We start from the raw sequence: 22,095 nt of genomic DNA on the forward strand, positions 1-22,095 counted from the left end.
ATGCCAAATGGCAGCAAGATGGCAAGCAGTAGGTGTGCTCCATTTTTATTGATGTACTTATACATATTCCTGTGCATGGATGAGCTGTACTTTACATTGTGCTGTTTCATTGAGGGGCACTGAGTCAGCTTGATGGTAAATTGTCTGCAGTACTGCTTCCGTGGCGGAAAATGGCTCCTAGGAATTACAACTTTGGAAGTATTTTGCGAGGGTAGCACAAACTTTTTTTTTTTATACTGTGCATTTGTTAAAGTAAGTGGCTCAATATTGATAACCTTTTGCCACCAATCAGAACTTTGTTCTACTGCTATAAATAGGAGACATTTCACAATGAATTTTTATTCTCCTACCAACCATCTTCTTTTCCAATTAAATTGTAAAAAAAAGTAAAATTCAGAATCGTAGGAGTTTCCCTTAGTCTTGTTTTTATGCTATGAAATCCCAATTTGTATATATATGTATTTTTCGTATCTTTAAAATTCTACCTAATGAGGTTATGGTGCACAGAAGGAATCAGTCTTTCATCACTTCTGTATAGCTACACATAGGAAACTAACTATGAATGACTCTAAGAGCTTATAGGTTGATAAAAAATGTTCCTATTTTTATTTGCTTTCTCATATTGCAAAGAATGCCAAGAGTTCTCCTGTTGTTTTTAACAAATAGAGTCCCTTAGAAGAACTTGGAGAGAGGCCTGCTTTTTTCTCACAACACACTGAGAACAGGAATCTGTAAGGTCGGTAGTATTCCCTAACTCCAGTGGGGCTAATTAGATAGGGCCATATTTATCATTAAGTAGCATGGATAAGCCCCAAAGGGAAAGAAGATAGATGTTCATAAAAGTGGGGCTGGGGGATGGAGCAGAAGAAAAGGTAGAGTCCTTGAGGGGAATGGTGAGAAGGTGGAAGGAAAAGGAAATGATAAAAAGAGAAAAATACTTTTAATAGTGTCACTATATATGTTATATACTAAAATAGCTAAATATATGGTAACTTACATGGCTACCTTTTATGTGCCAAATGGTCTTCTGAATACTTGATGTACATTAATTCATTGCGTCCTCAAAAAAATCATGTGTGACAGGTAATACTTATCTGTAAAGTCACAAAGCTGATAGGGGATTTGAACCTAGGCACTTCAGCTCCACCGCACTGCCTATGTGCTTAACTACTATGCTAGACTGGTCTTATGGAAGGGGGCCACCAACGATTCTTTAGATGCCATTAAATGTTGCTGGAGTCAGATTTCTTACATTTACCCCATTGGAACTATATATGACTTTTAGTGCCTGAAAAATATATACATTTTAAAGTTAGACAATAGTGAAGAAGCTTGCAGAGCACAACAGGAATGTTTCATTTTTATTATCTTGAAAATGAAAATGGAATTTGTGAGGATATCTGACATTTAAATGGTGAAAAACACCTCTTGAAGGACACGTGTCCTATTTGTTTGTAGATATGTACACTCTCTGTTACACTCGTTCATCGTAAGTCACATATTAGTATTCAGCAATCAACACCAAAATTGTATATGCCTTTTTGTGGTCAAAGTTTCATAGGTAGAAACATTAATTGCTAAGCAGGGATCCATATTCATATATTTTTCTCCAAAAGAAAAAATACAAAGTATCTTTTATGCCTTCATAGAACTAGCAGTACCAGAGTCCCAAACGTGATATCATTCAGGTAAAAGAGATATGTAATCAATAATAACAAAAAATGATAGCTTCTGAAAACATGTAGTTGAATGTGTTTACTTTGATAATAAAAGCACTTGCAAGCAAACATTGGGGGAAATAGTTGAAAAAATAAGGATTAGTATTTATTAACTTAAATAAATATAAACATTTATAATATATAAGTATAAATATATAATATATACAAAATATAAATAATATATAACTTTTTTTGTCATGTACCAGGCATTGTATTGAGTGATTTACATGCATTATCTCTCATTATGAGGTAGATACTGTTATACCCATTTGAAGATGAGGAAACTGAAGTTAATTAACCTGCCTAAGGTTATACAGGTAATAAGTGGTAGAAGTGGGAATAGGATTCTCAAAATGTTAGACATCAACATAAAATAATCTTTTATAATCTTTACTACTTATTTGACATGTGGTTTCCCATTTATCTCTGTGTTGGAACATACCTAACGTTATTTCTTGGTCTGGCCCAGGTCTCCTCCCTAGCTAACTTGCAGTTATTTTACATATAATTAAAATAGAGTACAACATGCTGTATTTTTTAAAATAGAAATATTTTATATAAAAATGATTTTTGACTTCTGGCTATCCTTTACTTTTGATTTTATCATTAGAGTTCCTTTTAAAATAGAAGTTTGTTTTGTTTCCCCCAGGACAGACTGTTCTCTGTAACTTGATTTTGAAAATAAAATTGAAAATTTTGTACCATGATCCAGAAATATCAGCGGTTCTAACTGGAAAGAGAAGGAATAAAGAACGTAAATCATTCTCCCCTACCCCTAAATATGCTTGTTATTTGTGTTGAAGAGATTTTCAGAATCATGTATCAGCGAGGTTAAATGAACATTTTTCTTCTCCTTTTTAAAATTTAATTTTGTACTAGGGGATTTTAGCACTTAGCAATAATTGCCCTTTTGTTGCATTTTTTGTCTCAAGTAAAGATTGTTAGATAACTCTTTGAAGATGAGAAATCGATGGTGCTTTTCTGCAGATAGGCCTTGAGAGCTCACATTTTGCAAGTGATTTTAAAATTTTCTAGCTGAGGCAGAACTCCTGGTTGAGTTGTGTGAGACCACTTATTCTGCTTCACACTGCCCCATGTCTCTAGCTTTTACCTCTAGTTGGTCAATTTCTATTCTGCTTTATTTTTTTTTTTTCAATTTGCCTTTTAAGTAGGTTTGTTTCGGAGGAATTGCCTTCATTTCCTCCACTAGTGAGGTTAGGGGATTTGAACCTAGGCACTTCAAGGTTAGGATGAGGTTAGGATGTTGGGGGTCAGGCTGGTACACACAATTTGCTGGTACACACAATTTGGTCATTGCTCAAGCTTTTTTCTCTGTGTGGTTTTCTTTCTTTGGATTAAACAGCATGATGCTACAGGAAGAGCTACCACTTGACAGAACCTGGTTCTGCAGATTTCTTTGATTTCCCTAGTGGATTTTTAATGCCTTTGGGATATCCTGTTAGTGTTCTGTTGAGGAACTCAGCTGTGGCTCCTCAGCAGGCATAAGTGGCAGTTGAGGCTACACATAGCTTGGTGGTATTAATCTAAAGTAGGCTGGAGAGGGAGCGAGGCGAGCAGTTACCTGAGGAATGATCTAGGATCATCAGATATGGTCAGGAACAGGCTGTAGGTAAAAGGGTGGTGGCAGGTGAGGCTCAGGGAAATCAGAGAGCAAATGATCAAGAGAAGATACTAGGCTGGTCAGGTCAGTATCCTTCTGGCTCAACTAGAAAGAGCTACCTGAAAGAGTCTGAAGCACTTTCTGAGTTTCTGGCTCCACCCTTGATCTGTGTCTTAGGTCTTTAAAGGGAAACTTGTGTTTTTTTTTTTTTTGTTTTTTTTTTTTTAGTCAGTCTTGTTCTCATCCACACATGAGCTTTAAGTATTCGGTTCCTCCTCCTTCCTTCTTCTTCTTCCTTCCTATTCTATATGTGTGTGTTTTTTTCTTTTTCTTTTTATTATTTCTTCCTCCTCTTTCTTTACCTTCTTGTCTTTCACCTCTTTCTTCTTCTTGGTCTTTGTAAAGGTCTGCAGGCTAGTGAGAGAATGCTTTAAGGGGCTTCACACTTCTCCCCATTTTACAGTTTAGACTTTAGACACTGTGCCTTGCATGGATCAGGAGATGAGACCATTAAATATTGATTTCCTAATTTATGCAGGAGTTTTTCATACTCTAAAAAATCAGTTTGTACAAAATGAGCAACATCTTATTTTGAATAGCATGTGGTATGTGTTAAATAAATGTATGTTGTGTAAATGAAGAGTCCCTAAGTTAGAATTTGGAAAATTCGTTCTTACTGAGATGGATAATTTTGGTGTCAGTCATGGTTTGCCATAGATTGTGAATTTTCAAGGTTGGTATTAGCTGCAGCTTACAAATAGTTAGGAATGCTTTCATGTGCCTTCCAGAAAAACTTTAAGTAAGTGTTTAATAAGGATAGGATTTTGAAAAACAGATATATTTACAAATTTGCCAGTATGCTGAAGAATGAAGCCAATTATTTCTTTTCTTTTCTTTCTTTTTTTTTTTTTTTGAGATGGAGTCTCACTCTGTCGCCAGGCTGGAGTGCAGTGGTGCCATCTCAGCTCACTGCAACCTCCACCCTCCGAGTTCAAGCGATTCTCCTGCCTCAGCCTCCTGAGTAGCTGGGATTACAGGCGCCTGCCACCGCACCCAGCTAATTTTTTGTATTTTTAGTAGAGACGGGGGTTTCACCTTCTTGGCCAGGCTGGTCTTGAACTCCTGACCTCGTGATCCACCCGCCTCGGCCTCCCAAAGTGCTAGGATTACAGGCGTGAACCACCACGCCCGGCTGAAGCCATTATGTCTTAGGAAGAACTTTATTGACTTTGGTAGAAACCTTAACATCATCAAAGATGATGAAAGTTTTGGATGTATATCCAGTAATAGACTGCTGGATTGAATGGTAGTTCTGTTGTAAGTTCTTTGAGAAATTTCCAAATTGCTTTCCACAGTGGCTGAATAAGTTCATTCCCACCAAGAGTGTGTAAGTGTTCCCTTTTCTCCTTACCCTCATCAGCATCTGTTTTTTTGACTTTTTAATAATAGCCATTCTGACTGATGTGAGATGGTATCTCATTGTGGTTTTGATTTGCATTTCTCTGATGATTAGTGATGTTGAGCATTTTTTTTACTTGTTTGTTGGCTGCTTGTATGTCTGCTTTTGAGGAGTGTCTATGTCTTTTGCCTATGTTTTATTGGGATTATTTATTTTTTGCTTGTTGAATTAAGTTCCTTATAGATTCTGGATATTACACTTTCATTGGATGCATAGTTTGCTAATATTTTGTTGAATTCTGTAAGTTATCTGTTTACTCTGTTGATAGTTTCTTTTGCTGTGCAGAAGCTCTTGAGTTTAATTATGTCCTACTTGACAATTTTGTTTTTGTTGCAATTGCTTTGAGGACTCGGTCATAAATTCTTTCTCAAGGCCGATTTCCAGAATGGTGTTCTCTAGGTATTCTTCTAAGATTCTTATAGTTTGAAGCATCTTGAGTTAATTTTTATATATGGTGAAAGTTAGGGGTCCAGTTTCATTCTTCCGCATATAACTAGCCAGCTATCCCAGCATTGTTTATTGAAGAGGGAGTTCTTTCCCCATGGCTTATTTTTGCCCACTTTGTTGAAGATCAGATGGCTGGAGGTATGCAGCTTTGTTTCTGGGCTCTCTATTGTGTTCCACTGGTCTATGTATAGCCAAAAGAAAATAAATCATTCTACCAAAAAGACACATGCACTCATGTTCATTGCACTATTCATAACAGCAAAGTCAGGGAATCAACCTAGGTGCTCATTCATGGTGGACTGGGTAAAGAAAATGTGGTACATATATACCATGGAATACTATGCAGCCTTAAAAATAATGATATTATATCCTTTGCAGCCACACAGATGTGGCGGGAGGCCATTATATTAAGTGAATTAATACAGGAACAGAAAACCAAATACTGTATATTCTCACATATAAGTGGGAGCTAAACATTGGATACTCATGGACATCAAAATGGCAATGGTAGATACTGGGGACTAAGAGAGAGGAAGGGAAGGAGAGGGGCAAGGGTTGAAAAACTAACTGCTGGGTACTATGCTCAGCATCTGCGTGATAGGATCATTCATATCCCAAATCTCAGCATCACTCAATATACCAATGTAACAAACCTGCACATGTATCCCTTGAATCTAAAATAAAAGTTGAAATTATAAAAAAAAGATTATGAAAGCTTTGATTCAGGGCTACAAAAATGTTCTCACTTTTTATGATCCTGTATAGCTGGTTTAGCTGTAAATAGTACATAGCTTTTTTTCTGAATTATTTCCTCGTGAAAGTACCTTCTAACTTGGACAGATATTGAGTGATAAGAAGATAGGGGAAATTCAAGAAGTGTTCATTCCTGTCACCAAAGGTGAAGCCATTCTGGCTAGGTAAGTTACTAGAGGTAAGACTATGTCAAACCACAGTGTATAGCAGTTTTCATTGACTCTCAGAATCCTCTAAAGTAAAAAAAAAAAAAGTGGTGGGGAGAGGATATTGGTGCCGAGATACTAAGAATTTTCACTTAATTTAATTTCTGAGACAAGTTTAGCATGATGTTCTTATAGTTCTTAATAATCTTGAATAGACAATGTTCTCTCATAGTTAACGAGGGAAAAGTACTATTTATTCATAATCAATTTAATATGACATCTACTTGCGGTCTTTGATGAGTGTTTTGGGTGTTTTCTTAAGTGTTCTGATTATGAAATGATGAACTTTGCAGTTATTGTAGGGTTATGGAATAAAAATTATTTTAATTTAATTACACGCAATAACATGGAATGAAGGCATGGACCCTCATCTTCATTTGTATTTCTTTCCATCGTTGAGCACAGACAGAGCCTTGTACATAACAGGTGCTCAACAAGCAAATATTGACTGAATGAAATTGTTGATGCCATGACTTATAGAGGGCCCTGTTTCTTCATTAATGCTCCCATACCCCCAACATTACATCAGGTTTTCCCTGGACAATTGTTTCTTCTCTTTTTTCTTCTTCTCTTTCTTTCATCATCCCTCAATATAGGCTCTGTCACTTTCCTGCAGCCTCTTTCCATTTTCCTGTGTACATAGCTTTGCTCTTTTCTCATTCGGTATGACCCTTGGTTTATTTTGTATTTCCCCCCACTCTATTTCTGCCAAGCGTCTCTTTCTCTATGCAACTAAAGTAAAAACAAGTCTCTGAAAGGTTATTTACATTCAGTGTTGGGAACCATCCCTGTAGCACATTGCTGGACTTATTTTGGGATTTAGAAAATGTGTTATAATTCAACACGCTTTCCATTTTACTACTTACTTGTAAACCTATATTTTGTGAGGTTTTTCTTTTTTTCCATTCATTTGTTTCTGTTGTGCCCCTTGAATTGCTCCTCATTCATTCTCCTCTGTGGATGTGGATTTTAATGTCCCTTCTGCCCTTTATTGCTGGAATAATCTCCTTCCTAAAATCATTTTCCTAGTTCTCACTGCTCATAATCCCCTGGATTTAAGCTTTAAATTATATGCTTAGTTTACCCTCTACATTTGCTGATCATGTCATTTTTCAAAGTCTTTGACAGTAATCCATTGCTACAGGATAGGGATCCATTGCTACATTGCTACAGGATTCATATTCAGTATAAAGGAATGACCAGGCATTTTTATAGGTATTCTAAAAGTAAAATTTGCCTCATAGGCTTGGCATAAAGTTGTGCATGCTTATGTGTCCATTAAGGAGGGGATTGGGGCGCCGATAACTTGGGTGTTAGTAGAAGGTGTTCTTATGAAACAGATTGTAATGTTGGGCTCACAATTGGTTATTCATATTCACTATTGTTTGTGCACTGCTTAGCACTGTGCCTGACACACAGTTGGTGCTCAGTAAATATTTATGGTCTACTTTTGTTTCAATTTTCTTTCACCAAAAATGCAGGAAAAAAGTTCTGTGACCATTTGTTAGTGATTGTATGTACTTTTGAGATAGTTCCAAGAGTTACAATATTTATTTTCTCTGGATTATGTAATGCTTTCGTTGGGATGGCATGGAGAGGATCGTGGACCTCATTCTACTTTTATGGCTAAAGCCCTAAATTCTTTCCTCCTCTTCCTGCACTTATACCCCTCCTGGCCCAGCAGAGCCAGGGCCTGTGTTGGTATGGCCGGGCTCTCAAGGTGAGTGTTTGAATTGAAGTAGCTGTCCCTCTTGCTTCAAATCTGAGTCAGGATTTATTAGGAAAGGCAAAGCCTATTAGGAAAGGCAGGGCCATGATGACGAGGGGAGGGAGACAGCCAAATAAAATGACAGGAACTTGGACAATGATTGGCATACTGACGTTCTACCACATAAAGTCTCCTTGCTGTCTTGAGGCCACTATAATCACTGTGACAAAATCATTCATGTCACTTTATAGCCCTGTCTTTTCCAACAAAAATAAATTCAAGCTATTTAACCTTTTTGTGTGACTTTATTCACCAGACTTTGTCATTCGCTGCCTGGAGCTGCATTTTCTTTAAGACAATGATGTATGTCTTCTGAGAGAGTGACATCTACTATTTCTGATGGATTTGAATTCATATGGCATATTCAGCCAAGGATTTCCCTTACTATTTATTTTTAGGGTTTGATTTTTTTAAACTATGGTTTTGAACTAAGGACAACAACCTTTTTTTTTTCCTATAGCTAAGCCCCAGATATTTTGTCTAAAAATTAAAAATAAATTTCTAGTTTTTATCTTACTTTTATGGACTAACAACCTAATCTAAAATATTCATATTATTTAATATGGATTAATTATGTTAATATAAATTTATATGTAAATATAAAATATAGATAATAAAATATGTAAGTTTACACGTCTATTATATAAATTATAACATTGATTAATATGTTAATATAAAATATTTATATTCTTTTATAACTTTTTTATTTCTTAGGAGGTGGATGTTACCCATACTCCATGAAATCTTCATGCCTCTAAAAGATCTTCATATACTAGTTTAAATCAGAAAAATATACCAGTAGAGAACAGGCACATTAGTATAATTAGCTTCAAGAATTTATATCTCAGTGTAAAAGGAGGCTGTGAAAGTAGCTTTGTAATGTTTCTTTTTTTATTATTATTATACTTTAAGTTTTAGGGTACATGTGCACAATGTGCAGGTTAGTTACATATGTATACATGTGCCATGCTGGTGTGCTGCACCCATTAACACGTCATTTAGCATTAGGTATATCTCCTAATGCTATCCCTCCCCCCTCCCCCCACCCCACAACAGTCACCAGAGTGTGATGTTCCCCTTCCTGTGTCCATGTATTCTCATTGTTCAATTCCCATCTATGAGTGAGAACATGCGGTGTTTGGTTTTTTGTTCTTGCCATAGTTTACTGAGAATGATGATTTCCAATTTCATCCATGTCCCTACAAAGGACATGAACTCATCATTTTTTATGGCTGCATAGTATTCCAGGGTGTATATGTGCCACATTTTCTTAATCCAGTCTATCATTGTTGGACATTTGGGTTGGTTCCAAGTCTTTGCTATTGTGAATAATGCTGCAATAAACATATGTGTGCATGTGTCTTTATAGCAGCATGATTTATAGTCCTTTGGGTATATACCCAGTAATGGGATGGCTGGGTCAAATGGTATTTCTAGTTCTAGATCCCTGAGGAATCGCCACACTGACTTCCACAATGGTTGAACTAGTTTACAGTCCCACCAACAGTGTAAAAGTGTTCTTATTTCTCCACATCCTCTCCAGCACCTGTTGTTTCCTGACTTTTTAATGATTGCCATTCTAACTGGTGTGAGATGGTATCTCATTGTGGTTTTGATTTGCATTTCTCTGATGGCCAGTGATGATGAGCATTTTTTCATGTGTTTTTTGGCTGCATAAATGTCTTCTTTTGAGAAGTGTCTGTTCATATCCTTTGCAAACTTTTTGATGGGGTTGTTTGTTTTTTTCTTGTAAATTTGTTTGATTTCATTGTCGAGTCTAGATATTAGCCCTTTGTCAGATGAGTAGGTTGCAAAAATTTTCTCCCATTCTGTAGGTTGCCTGTTCACTCTGATGGTAGTTTCTTTTGCTGTGCAGAAGTTCTTTAGTTTAATTAGATCCCATTTGTCAATTTTGTCTTTTGTTGCCGTTGCTTTTGGTGTTTTAGACATGAAGTCCTTGCCCATGCCTATGTCCTGAATGGTAATGCCTAGGTTTTCTTCTAGGGTTTTTATGGTTTTAGGTCTAATGTTTAAGTCTTTAATCCATCTTGAATTAATTTGTGTATAAGATGTAAGGAAGGGATCCAGTTTCAGCTTTCTACATATGGCTAGCCAGTTTTCCCAGCACCATTTATTAAATAGGGAATCCTTTTCCCCATTGCTTGTTTTTCTCAGGTTTGTCAAAGATCAGATAGTTGTAGAAATGCAGCGTTATTTCTGAGGGCTCTGTTCTGTTCCATTGATCTATATCTGTGTTTTGGTACCAGTACCATGCTGTTTTGGTTACTGTAGCCTTGTAGTATAGTTTGAAGTCAGGTAGCGTGATGCCTCCAGCTTTGTTCTTTTGTCTTAGGATTGACTTGGCGATGTGGGCTCTTTTTCGGTTCCATATGAACTTTAAAGTAGTTTTTCCCAATTCTGTGAAGAAAGTCATTGGTAGCTTGATGGGGATGGCATTGAATCTATAAATTACCTTGGGCAGTATGGCCATTTTCACGATATTGATTCTTCCTACCCATGAGCATGGAACGTTCTTCCATTTGTTTGTATCCTCTTTTATTTCATTGAGCAGTGGTTTGTAGTTCTCCTTGAAGAGGTCCTTCACATCCCTTGTAAGTTGGATTCCTAGGTATTTTATTCTCTTTGAAGCAACTGTGAATGGTAGTTCACTCATGATTTGGCTCTCTGTTTGTCTGTTATTGGTATATAAGAATGCTTGTGATTTTTGTACATTGATTTTGTATCCTGAGACTTTGCTGAAGTTGCTTATCAGCTTAAGGAGATTTTGGGCTGAGACAATGGGGTTTTCTAGATATACAATCATGTCATCTGCAAACAGGGACAATTTGACTTCCTCTTTTCCTAATTGAAGACCCTTTATTTCCTTCTTCTGCCTAATTGCCCTGGCCAGAACTTCCAACACTATGTTGAATAGGAGTGGTGAGAGAGGGCATCCCTGTCTTGTGCCAGTTTTCAAAGGGAATGCTTCCAGTTTCTGCCCATTCAGTATGATATTGGCTGTGGGTTTGTCATAGATAGCTCTTATTATTTTGAGATACGTCCCATCAATACCTAATTTATTGAGAGTTTTTAGCATGAAGGGCTGTTGAATTTTGTCAAAGGCCTTTTCTGCATCTATTGAGATAATCATATGGTTTTTGTCTTTGGTTCTGTTTATATGCTGGATTGTATTTATTGATTTGCATATATTGAACCAGCCTTGCATCCCAGGGATGAAGCCCACTTGATCATGGTGGATAAGCTTTTTGATGTGCTGCTGGATTCGGTTTGCCAGTATTTTACTGAGGATTTTTGCATCAATGTTCATCAAGGATATTGGTCTAAAATTCTCTTTTTTGGTTGTGTCTCTGCCTGGCTTTGGTATCAGGATGATGCTGGCCTCATAAAATGAGTTAGGGAGGATTCCCTCTTTTTCTATTGATTGGAATAGTTTCAGAAGGAATGGTACCAGTTCCTCCTTGTACCTCTGGTAGAATTCGGCTGTGAATCCATCTGGTCCTGGATTCTTTTTTATTGGTAAGCTATTGATTATTGCCACAATTTCAGATCCTGTTATTGGTCTATTCAGAGATTCAACTTCTTCCCGGTTTAGTCTTGGGAGGGTGTATGTGTTGAGGAATTTATCCATTTCTTCTAGATTTTCTAGTTTATTTGTGTAGAGGTGTTTGTAGTATTCTCTGATGGTAGTTTGTATTTCTGTGGAATTGGTGGTGATATCCCCTTTATCATTTTTTATTGCATCTATTTGATTCATCTCTTTTTCTTTATTAGTCTTGCTAGTGGTCTATCAATTTTGTTGATCCTTTCAAAAAACCAGCTCCTGGCTTCATTAATTTTTTTGAAGGGTTTTTTTTTTGTCTCTATTTCCTTTAGTTCTGCTCTGATTTTAGTTATTTCTTGCCTTCTGCTAGCTTTTGAATGTGTTTGTTCTTGCTTTTCTAGTTCTTTTAATTGTGATGTTAGGGTGTCAGTATTGGATCTTTCCTGCTTTCTCTTGTGGGCATTTAGTGCTATAAATTTCCCTCTACACACTGCTTTGAATGTGTCCCAGAGATTCTGGTATGTTGGGTGTTTGTTCTCGTTGGTTTCAAAGAACATCTTTATTTCTGCCTTCATTTCGTTATGTATCCAGTAGTCATTCAGGAGCAGGTTGTTCAGTTTCCATGTAGTTGAGCGGTTTTGAGTGAGTTTCTTAATCCTGAGTTCTAGTTTGATTGCACTGTGGTCTGAGAGACAGTTTGTTACAATTTCTGTTCTTTTACATTTGCTGAGGAGAGCTTTACTTCCAACTATGTGGTCAATTTTGGAATAGGTGTGGTGTGGTGCTGAAAAGAATGTATGTTCTGTTGATTTGGGGTGGAGAGTTCTGTAGCTGTCTATTAGGTCCGCTTGTTGCAGAGCTGAGTTCAATTCCTGGGTATCCTTGTTAAATTTCTGTCTCGTTGATCTGTCTAATGTTGATAGTGGGGTGTTAAAGTCTCCCATTATTATTGTGTGGGAGTCTAAGTCTCTTTGTAGGTCACTAAGGACTTGCTTTATGAATCTGGGTGCTCCTGTTTTGGGTGCATATATATTTAGGATAGTTAGCTCTTCTTGTTGAATTGATCCCTTTACCATTATGTAATGGCCTTCTTTGTCTCTTTTGATCTTGGTTGGTTTAAAGTCTGTTTTATCAGAGACTAGGATTGCAACCCCTGCCTTTTTTTGTTTTCCATTTGCTTGGTAGATCTTCCTCCATCCTTTTATTTTGAGCCTGTGTGTGTCTCTGCCCGTGAGATGGGTTTCCTGAATACAGCACACTGATGGGTCTTGACTCTTTATCCAATTTGCCAGTCTGTGTCTTTTAATTGGAGCATTTAGTCCATTTACATTTAAAGTTAATATTGTTATGTGTGAATTTGATCCTTTTATTATGATGTTAGCTGGTTATTTTGCTCGTTAGTTGATGCAGTTTCTTCCTAGTCTCGATGGTCTTTACATTTTGGCATGATTTTGCAGTGGCTTGTACCCGTTGTGCCTTTCCATGTTTAGTGCTTCCTTTAGGAGCTCTTTTAGGGCAGGCCTGGTGGTGACAAAATCTCTCAGCATTTGCTTGTCTGTAAAGTATTTTATTTCTCCTTCACTTATGAAGCTTACTTTGGCTGGATATGAAACTCTGGGTTGAAAATTCTTATTTTTAAGAATGTTGAATAGTGGCCCCCACTCTCTTCTGGCTTGTAGAGTTTCTGCTGAGAGATCTGCTGTTAGTCTGATGGGCTTCCCTTTGTGGGTAACCCGACCTTTCTCTTTTGCTGCCCTTAACATTTTTTCCTTCATTTCAACTTTGGTGAATCTGACAATTATGTGTCTTGGAGTTGCTCTTCTCGAGGAGTATCTTTGTGGCATTCTCTGTATTTCCTGAATCTGAATGTTGGCCTGCCTTGCTAGATTGGGGAAGTTCTCCTGGATAATATCCTGCAGAGTGTTTTCCAACTTGGTTCCATTCTCCCCATCACTTTCAGGTACACCAATCAGACGCAGATTTGGTCTTCTCACATAGTCCCATATTTCTTGGAGGCTTTGCTCATTTCTTTTTATTCTTTTTTCTCTAAACTTGTTTCATTTCATTCATTTCATCTTCCATCACTGATACCCTTTCTTCCAGTTGATCGCATCGGCTCCTGAGGCTTCTGCATTCTTCACGTAGTTCTCGAGCCTTGGCTTTCAGCTCCATCAGCTCCTTTAAGCACTTCTCTGTATTGGTTATTCTAGTTATACATTTGTCTAAATTTTTTTCAAAGTTTTCAACTTCTTTGCCTTTGATTTGAATTTCCTCCTATAGCTCGGAGTAATTTGATCATCTGAAGCCTTCTTCTCTCAACTCGTCAAAGTCATTCTCCATCCAGCTTTGTTCCGTTGCTGGTGAGGAACTGCGTTCCTTTGGAGGAGGAGAGGCACTCTGCTTTTTAGAGTTTCCATTTTTCTGCTCTGTTTTTTCCCCATTTTTGTGGTTTTATCTACTTTTGGTCTTTGATGATGGTGATGTACAGATGGGTTTTTGGTGTGGATGTTCTTTCTGTTTGTTAGTTTTCCTTCTAACAGACAGGACCCTCAGCTGCAGGTCTGTTGGAGTTTGCTAGAGGTCCACTGCAGACCCTGTTTGCCTGGATATCAGCAGCGGTGTCTGCAGAACCGCAGATTTTTGTGATCCGCAAGTGCTGCTGTCTGATCGTTCCTCTGGAAGTTTTGTCTCAGAGGAGTACCCGGCCGTGTGAGGTGTCAGTCTGCCCCTACTGGGGGGTGCCTCCCAGTTAGGCTGCTCAGGGGTCAGGAGTCACACTTGAGGAGGCAGTCTGCCCGTTCTCAGATCTCCAGCTGCGTGCTGGGAGAACCACTGCTCTCCTCAAAGTTGTCAGACAGGGACATTTAAGTCTGCAGAGGTTACTGCTGTCTTTTTGTTTGTGCCCTGCCCCCAGAGGTGTAGCCTACAGAGGCAGGCAGGCCTCCTTGAGCTGTGGTGGGGTCCACCCAGTTCGAGCTTCCTGGCTGCTTCGTTTACCTAAGCGAGCCTGGGCAATGGTGGGCGCCCCTCCCCCAGCCTCGCTGCTGCCTTGCAGTTTGATCTCAGACTGCTGTGCTAGCAATCAGGGAGACTCCATGGGCGTAGGACCCTCTGAGCCAGGTGCGGGATATAATCTCCTGGTGCGCCGTTTCCTAAGCCCATCGGAAAAGCGCAGTATTCGGGTGGGAGTGGCCCGATTTTCTACGTGCCGTCTGTCACCCCTTTCCTTGACCAGGAAAGGGAACTCCCTGACCCCTTGCGCTTCCCGAGTGAGGCAATGCCTCACCCTGCTTCGGCTGGCGCACAGTGTGCTGCATCCACTGTCCTGCACCCACTGGCTGGCACTCCCTAGTGAGATGAACCCGGTACCTCAGATGGAAATGCAGAAATCACCCGTCTTCTGCATCACTCACGCTGGGAGCTGTAGACCGGAGCTGTTCCTATTTGGCCATCTTGGCTCCTCCTCTGAAAGTAGCTTTAAGACCAGATGAAAAAGTGAGGACTTGTGGTGGAGAGGAGACCCTACATTAAAAGATAAAGATCAAATACAGCTGTTGTGACTTTAGCTAACCTAATGTAATCCCAGGAACAAAATAGTTCCTATCTTACTTATATGTATTTTTATAAGAGGTTTATTGAGATATAATTCACACAGTATAGAATTAACCCATTTAAAAATGGTATACGATTGAGTTTTTGGTGTATTTAGAGAACTGTGCAGCGATCACCACTGTCAATTTTGAAACCTTTTCATCACTTCAAAAAGAAACCTTATGCCCATTTTCCCTAACTGCCTCCCACCCTCAGCCTGGGCACCCACTGATCTACTTTCTGTCTCTACAGATTTACTTACTCTTGAGCTTTCATATAAATGGAATCGTACACTATCCAGTCTTTTGTGACTGGCTTTTTTCACTTATCATAATGTTTTCCAGTTTCATTCATGTTGTAGCATGTATCAGTATTTCATTCGTGAGTAGTGTTTCATTATCAATCCATTCATTTTGATGGACATTTGAGTTATTTCCATTCTTTGGCTATTTAAAATAATGGTGCCGTGAACATGTGTGTAAAAAATTTTTGTGTGGACATGTGGAAACACACACATGAAAGTATCGTAAAAATTACTTATTCTTATTACATACAGTGGTATACATTTCATTCTGTTCTGTTCTATTTCATTTTCTTTAAAACCCTGCCTATGGTGCACTCAAGTGATTTCAGAGTCCTTTCTGTGATCTTACCCACAACTTTAAAAACTACCCTACAGGATTCCTCACAGGTAAGCTCAGTACCTGTGAGGCAGCCCTTTGTTTAGACATCTCTGGCTAAAAAGATTTTAGAAAGTTGAATCAACATGTGCCTCCTTGTATGTTCTGTCTGTTACTTTTTGTTTCTTGTAGTTTTCCTGGCAATAATATTAGGGACATCTGGATGGTTGTGTTACTTATCCCTTAGCTGTTCTATGGTATCAGTGAAATTGACCATGTGAGGGTGCTTGTAAAACTTTCTTCAGTTTGTTTAATATAAAAAGCTTAAGTTTTGAAATAATTCAAACATACAAAATGGTAGATAGAATAATGTAATGGACACCCTTGTACATACCACCCAGAATGAACAAAATTTAGTGTGGTTTGTTTCTTTTGCAAGAAACTAACGTTATAGATTCAGATGATGCTCTCTTGCCCTTCTGTTTTCCCCTTCCTTCTCAGAGGAGATCATTGTCTTGCAACTGGTGTGCATCCTTTCCGTCTTTGTTTTCTTTTCTTCTTCTTTTTTTTATTGAGATGGAGTTTCGCTCTTGTTGCCCAAGCTGGAATGCAATGGTGCCATCTCGACTCACTGCAGCCTCTGCCTCCAGGGTTCAAGCAATTCTCCTGCCTCTCAGCCTCCCGAGTAGCTGGGATTACAGGTGCGCACTACCATGCCTGGCTAATTTTTTGTATTTTTAGTAGAAACGGGGTTTCACCATGTTAGCCAGGTGGTCTCAAACTCCTGACCTCAGGTGATCTGCCCACCTCGGCCTCCCAAAGGGCTGGGATTACAGGCATGAGCCACCCTGTCTGGTCTGTTTTCATACTTTCATACATACATATATATCCATAACAATATATTACTGTTTTGTGTGTATTTAAATGTCTATCTTTTATAGCATATATATCCTTTTACCCCTCCTCAAAATTAAATTTTTTGATCTCTTATGATGATATAGGTAAAAGAATTAAATTCATTTCTTTTTATTGCTGCCTGCCTTCCCATTTTATAAACATCATTTATTCATTTTCCCATTAGTAGTATTTATAGCGTATTTATTCTGTTTCGCTGTTATAAGCAGTATATACCATTTGACATACACATTTGACATTGGCATGAGTTTCTATGGAGTATATATTTGGAAGTGAAATTGTTGATTCCTAGGGCTTGTACACTGTCAATTTCCCTGTATATTGCCAAATCAAATAGTGATACAGCAATTTACACTCCACTAGCACTGTATGCGAATTTATGTATAGTCTCCTTTTCATCATTATCTGGAACCATAAGACTTTAAAGTTTTTTTAAATTTTTTTTATTTTTTATTTTTTTTTTGAGATGGAGTTTCGCTCTTGTTTCCCAGGCTGGAGTGCAATGGCGTGATCTCGGCTCACTGCAAACTCTGCCTCCCGGGTTCAAGTGATTCTCCTACCTCAGCCTCCTGAGTAGCTGGGATTACAGGCACGCACCATCATGCCCAGCTAATTTTTGTATTTTTAGTAGAGATGGGGTTTCACCATGTTGGCCAGGATGGTCTCAATCTCTTGACCCTGTGATCTGCCCTCTTCGGCCTCCCAAAGTGCTGGGATTACAGGGGTGAACCACCGTGCCCGGCCGACTTTAAAGTTTTTAACAATATTGTGGGTATGAGATGGTATCTAGTTATTTTACTTTCCATTTTCCTGATGACTGATGAGGTAGAGCACCTTTGGTGATCTGTATTTCCTCTTTTGACTGGCCTATTATGCGTTCCCCATTTTTCAATTGAAATTTTTGTCTTTTTCTTGTCGATTTTTGGCATTTAAAAATATTCTGGATTATTCTCTATTATCTGTATAGCAAATATTTATTTATCTTTTAGTTTATGGCTTATTTTTCATTCTCATGGTATCTTTGGTTTAGCAGATTTAATTTTTTTATGTTATCCTATTTAGATCCTTAATGATTCTTGGTCTGTCTGTGTATTACTTTATCACTGTGGAATTTACTATAGTTTTAGAATATCTTAATTTTTCACAAAATAAATCTCAAATGTAGTTTTTTTTTTAAAAAAAGCATTATAGAAAAGTGATTAAATGTTAAAGGACCTAGAATTAGACTCCATGGATTTAAAGCTCACCTCTGCCACTAGCTCACTGTGTGAACTTGGCAAACACTTAACTTCTTTAATCTTGGGTTTTTACACCAATACAATGTGAATAAGAATAGTACCCAGTTCATATGTTGTGAGGATTAAAAAAGATAATATACATAAAGCTGTAGCTGGGCGTTTGGCATATAGTAAGAGCTCAATAAATGTTAGCTCCTTTTTTTTTAAGCTCCTATAATTATCATTTCTTGGTATAAAACTGATACTCGGTGTCATATATGCAAATCGCTGGATTTCTCTGTTTTCATAAGAGCTGTGATTTGTATCAAAGTCTCCAGGATGGTGGAACAATTTGCTCTCTGGTGCTAGTTTTGGATCTAGCTTTGGTCTCACTGCAGGTGTTTCCAAAAACATAGCTACCAGATTAGAGGACAAGATGCTCCGTTTTAATAGTCTGTTTTAATTTCCTTTTTAAAAAACATGTTTTGCCTGAAATACTTCAATATGCAAATCAAAAGGAACAGACAGGTGATCTAGAAGAAAGGGCTTCTAAAATTTTATAGATGGTAGCATTTATTATAAAAAAAGTTGAGTCTTCTGTGAAAATTAAGATGACTTTGCATTTGAAATATATGTATGGCAACAATACTGATTTTTAATATAGTTTTTAAAACAATAGCTTTATTGACATATTCATATACCATAAAATTCACTCTTTTAGAATATACAATTCAGTGGTTTTTAATATAGTTTTAAATAAAAGTTTGTCATTCTGAATTCATTGTTTTTTCCTTTCTGTTTGGACTCTTCTCTTTTAATTATTGTGCTGTTTTTGGTACCATTGTAGAGTAGTTGTGATCTTAAAATTTTCAGCTTCTTATTAATCTGGGCCCAGCATTAGATGTAGCCTTCAGATCAATGGAAAGAACTGAAGAACTTCCATGTTCTTGCAGTGGATTCCCATATTTAATAAATATTTTAATACTTATCAATCAACCATGTGTTTCTGAATTTCTAACAGTTTTAAACAGTCTTTCCAAAATCTGTTATTCTGAAGTTAATTGTTTGTGTTATTTCTCTTTTTCAAGAAATAATTAGGTTAGAAGAAGTCCATATGCTTTCATTTTAAGCATCATATGTTCACTGATGAAAGTATTCAGTGTTCAGGAAGAAGAGAGCTCCAAGTGCAGATAGTATTGTTGCTGCTGGTGGTAGTGGGGTGTGTGTGTGTGTGTGTGTGTCTGTGTGTGTGTGTGTAGAGTATTCTGCATCTCATCTCCATAAGGCCATTGGGTCACTCTTCGTCCTTATATTTCACTTGACAAGAAGAGAAACAGTTATACTTTTCTCTGAACCTTCTGGCCCTTGTGCAGTTGGGTATTTCAGTTATGTTAGAGCTATTAATCATGCCTTTTTATAGCTCCTCTTCTCTGCAGTATGTTTTCACTAGAACTAGAGATTCTTGATTTCTCTTTTTATCATTCTATCTTTGAATAATGAGGGAACTGAGGGGATTGGCAAATATTTAATAGACTTTGGTTCTTGTTCCTTTTCTTACAAAGTTTAAACTTGCCAGCTCTGCAATTAAAATTTTTCCATTGGTTCTATTTCAGGTTAAGGCTCAGTAGCTGTTTTGAGTAACTAACACTAATGCAGTTTGTGTGTGTGTTGCAATTTCCTGTGATTTGATTTGTGAACTGACATCCTTTTAACTCACTCCAAAAACATTTATTGAGGTCCTACTATGTGGCACTGTTCTGTGCCTTTGGGATACATCAGTGAATAATAAAAAAAATTCTTTCTTCTGGGCTTATGTTCTAGCACATAGACAAAAATATAGTAAATGATGCAGTAATACATTATATGGTATGTTCAAAGGTGATAAGTACTATGGAAAATAAAAAATATAGCATGGTAATGGAGACTGGTAGTGCAGGGGAGTGTAGGGGGCATACGTTGTAATTTCTAGTAGGGTAGTCCGTTAGGCCTCAGAGAAATGACATTAGGAAAAGACTTGAAGGATGTGAGGAGTGAGTCATACAGGTATCTTAGGAAGAGCATTATATATAGAGAGAATAACCAGTATAATGACCCCAAGGCCAGAGTATATCGGTCAAATATGAATAACAAGATGACTGCTCCAAAGAAGATTGGTGATGGAAGATCTTATTGGAAACTGTTCTGGGAGGAAATATTTGGAATCATCTACATTTCTTGTGGTATTTTTGGTTTCATCCTGTGGTCTCACAGTATTGGATTATCCCACCAAGGAAGAACATACAGATTTTCAGTATGGTGTCTAAATGTAATCTCTTCCCCTCCTCTTCCTATAATCCCACAATGTAATGCATTTGGATTCTTCTTTGCAAGACAGTATTACTTCCATGCACTTAAATGTAGTTGTATTTTATGTTTAGTACAAGCATGGTTATGAATTACTCCTTTTGCAGGATGTTTTATCTGGTGCGGTTGGCAGATATTTTTAGAATTAGCCTGCCGTAAAGCTTACTAAGTAGCAGATACTTCTACTGTGCCTAAGAGATGAGCAGCACACTTCCAAGCTGTCTTTGAACATGTTAATATCTAGTTTCACAAATGGGAGAAATAGGGCTAAATTGCATTAAGACAGAGTTTTGTTAGTGATTTAAAAGGAAAAGTAAGATGATTCAGCATTGGAACAGACTATAAATGGGGGTTGAGGAACTGTCTCAAGAACTTATAAAACAGGTTCAACAATCATTTTTCAAAATGGTTTTGTGTAGGTTTGTTTCCTTACAAGTGAGGGAATGAATCATATAACTCATCGAGGTTCCCTGAAGCTCAAAGTTCCATTCTTCTCTGTCTGCCTTATAGATAATGCTCATGCAAGTCATGTAGCCAAATGACCACCAAACTCACTAACAAATGTCAGATGAATATAATTAACACAGGAACACAGGTCAAAAGTATTTCAGGAGAATTAGTGTAATGCATATACTGTTGAGAGTTACACTCTATAAAACAATGATAGTGCTTGTAATTACTAGAGAACTCACAAGGAAACAGTAAAGTAGTTAAACTATGTGAAAGCAACCTTTATTATGTGAGTCCTGACAACTACTTTTCACTTTTGGCTAATTACAGTTTGCAAAATAACTTTTGTTCATGTTATTGTCAGATTAACAGTTGTCAGGTTTATTTTAAATTTGTAAGTGAGCACATTCTTTGTGCTAAGCAAGGTGCCAAACATTGGGACTACAGAGGCACTTGGTATAGCGTTGAGAGTGGAAGATGGTATAGCTATAAGCCATGCACCTCAATGAGAGAGGGATAGAGGAATTGTCATCTGGAAGTGACAAGGGAAGCAAGAACAATTCTGATTCCTGAATACAACACGAAATTCTGTTCACACTGCTTACACTTTTTTTTAATCATGTGGCAGAATAATATGCCTAACGTTTATGGAGCTAGAACATTCTGTGGACTTTTTTTTTTTTGAAGATGGAATCTTGCTGTGTTGCTTAGTCTGGGTCAAACTCCTGGGCTCAAGTGTTCCTCCCACCTTAGCCTCCCCAGTAGCTACAACAACAAGCACCAGCCACTGCAGCAGCTCGTTCTGTGCATCTTACATGTATTCAGTCTTCACAGCAATCCTCAGAGGTTGATACTGTTTTTCGCAGTTAATAAATAGTGAAACTGAGGCACAGAGAGCTTAAATAATGCCCAGGATCATTCAGTTTAGGAAGGGGTGGAGCTAGGATTTGAACATAGGAAATTTGTCTCGAAGATCTGGAGTTTTAACCACTATCCTATGCAACTTTTCATAAGCAACTGCTCACAGTTTTAAAACAGAGGGAAAACTCTTGGACAAAGCAATTGAGCATAGCATTATATTATTGTCTTGTAAGATAATAACATGTCTTTCCAGATAATAAAAATCTGTTGGTAGGGCCATATCTTCCTCAGAGTCCCTTTTGGTTCTCCTGGAGGTACCTGTGTACACAGTAGGGGTTCAGGACTTGGTGGTGGTGGTGGAGACGGTGAGGCATGCAGGGAAGGCCAGGGAAGGACAAAAAGGACAGCCTGAAAGCAGTTTGCTAAGGATGGCCCTTCAGGGAAAGTTTCAGTCATGAGTCTTTGCCAGGAGGCAGCTTCCCAGAAACCCAGTGGGGGAAGTTCGGAGCGACAACCCACCCAGTTTTCAGAAGTGAATAAGTTCTCCTAGGGTATCATTTGATA

General features: G+C 37.8%; 1 protein-coding gene across 31 annotated transcripts in view, besides 1 other annotated feature; it reads left to right on the forward strand.

Annotated features, from left to right (window-relative positions):
- The window catches only part of ADAM22 (ADAM metallopeptidase domain 22), a 268,639-nt gene that overhangs the window by 7,029 nt on the left and 239,515 nt on the right, over positions 1-22,095 (forward strand). The window lies entirely within an intron of this gene.
- Positions 14,133-14,634: an enhancer, noted in NCBI's record as "H3K4me1 hESC enhancer chr7:87584727-87585228 (GRCh37/hg19 assembly coordinates)". NCBI's record gives its function as "activates a minimal SCP1, AML or CMV promoter by ChIP-STARR-seq in naive H9 embryonic stem cells {active_cell/tissue: H9 hESC(naive)}" and the evidence as "EXISTENCE:reporter gene assay evidence [ECO:0000049][PMID:30033119]".

This window comes from Homo sapiens, chromosome 7 (assembly GCF_000001405.40).
Source record: "Homo sapiens chromosome 7, GRCh38.p14 Primary Assembly".
Classification (NCBI taxonomy): Eukaryota; Metazoa; Chordata; class Mammalia; order Primates; family Hominidae; genus Homo; species Homo sapiens.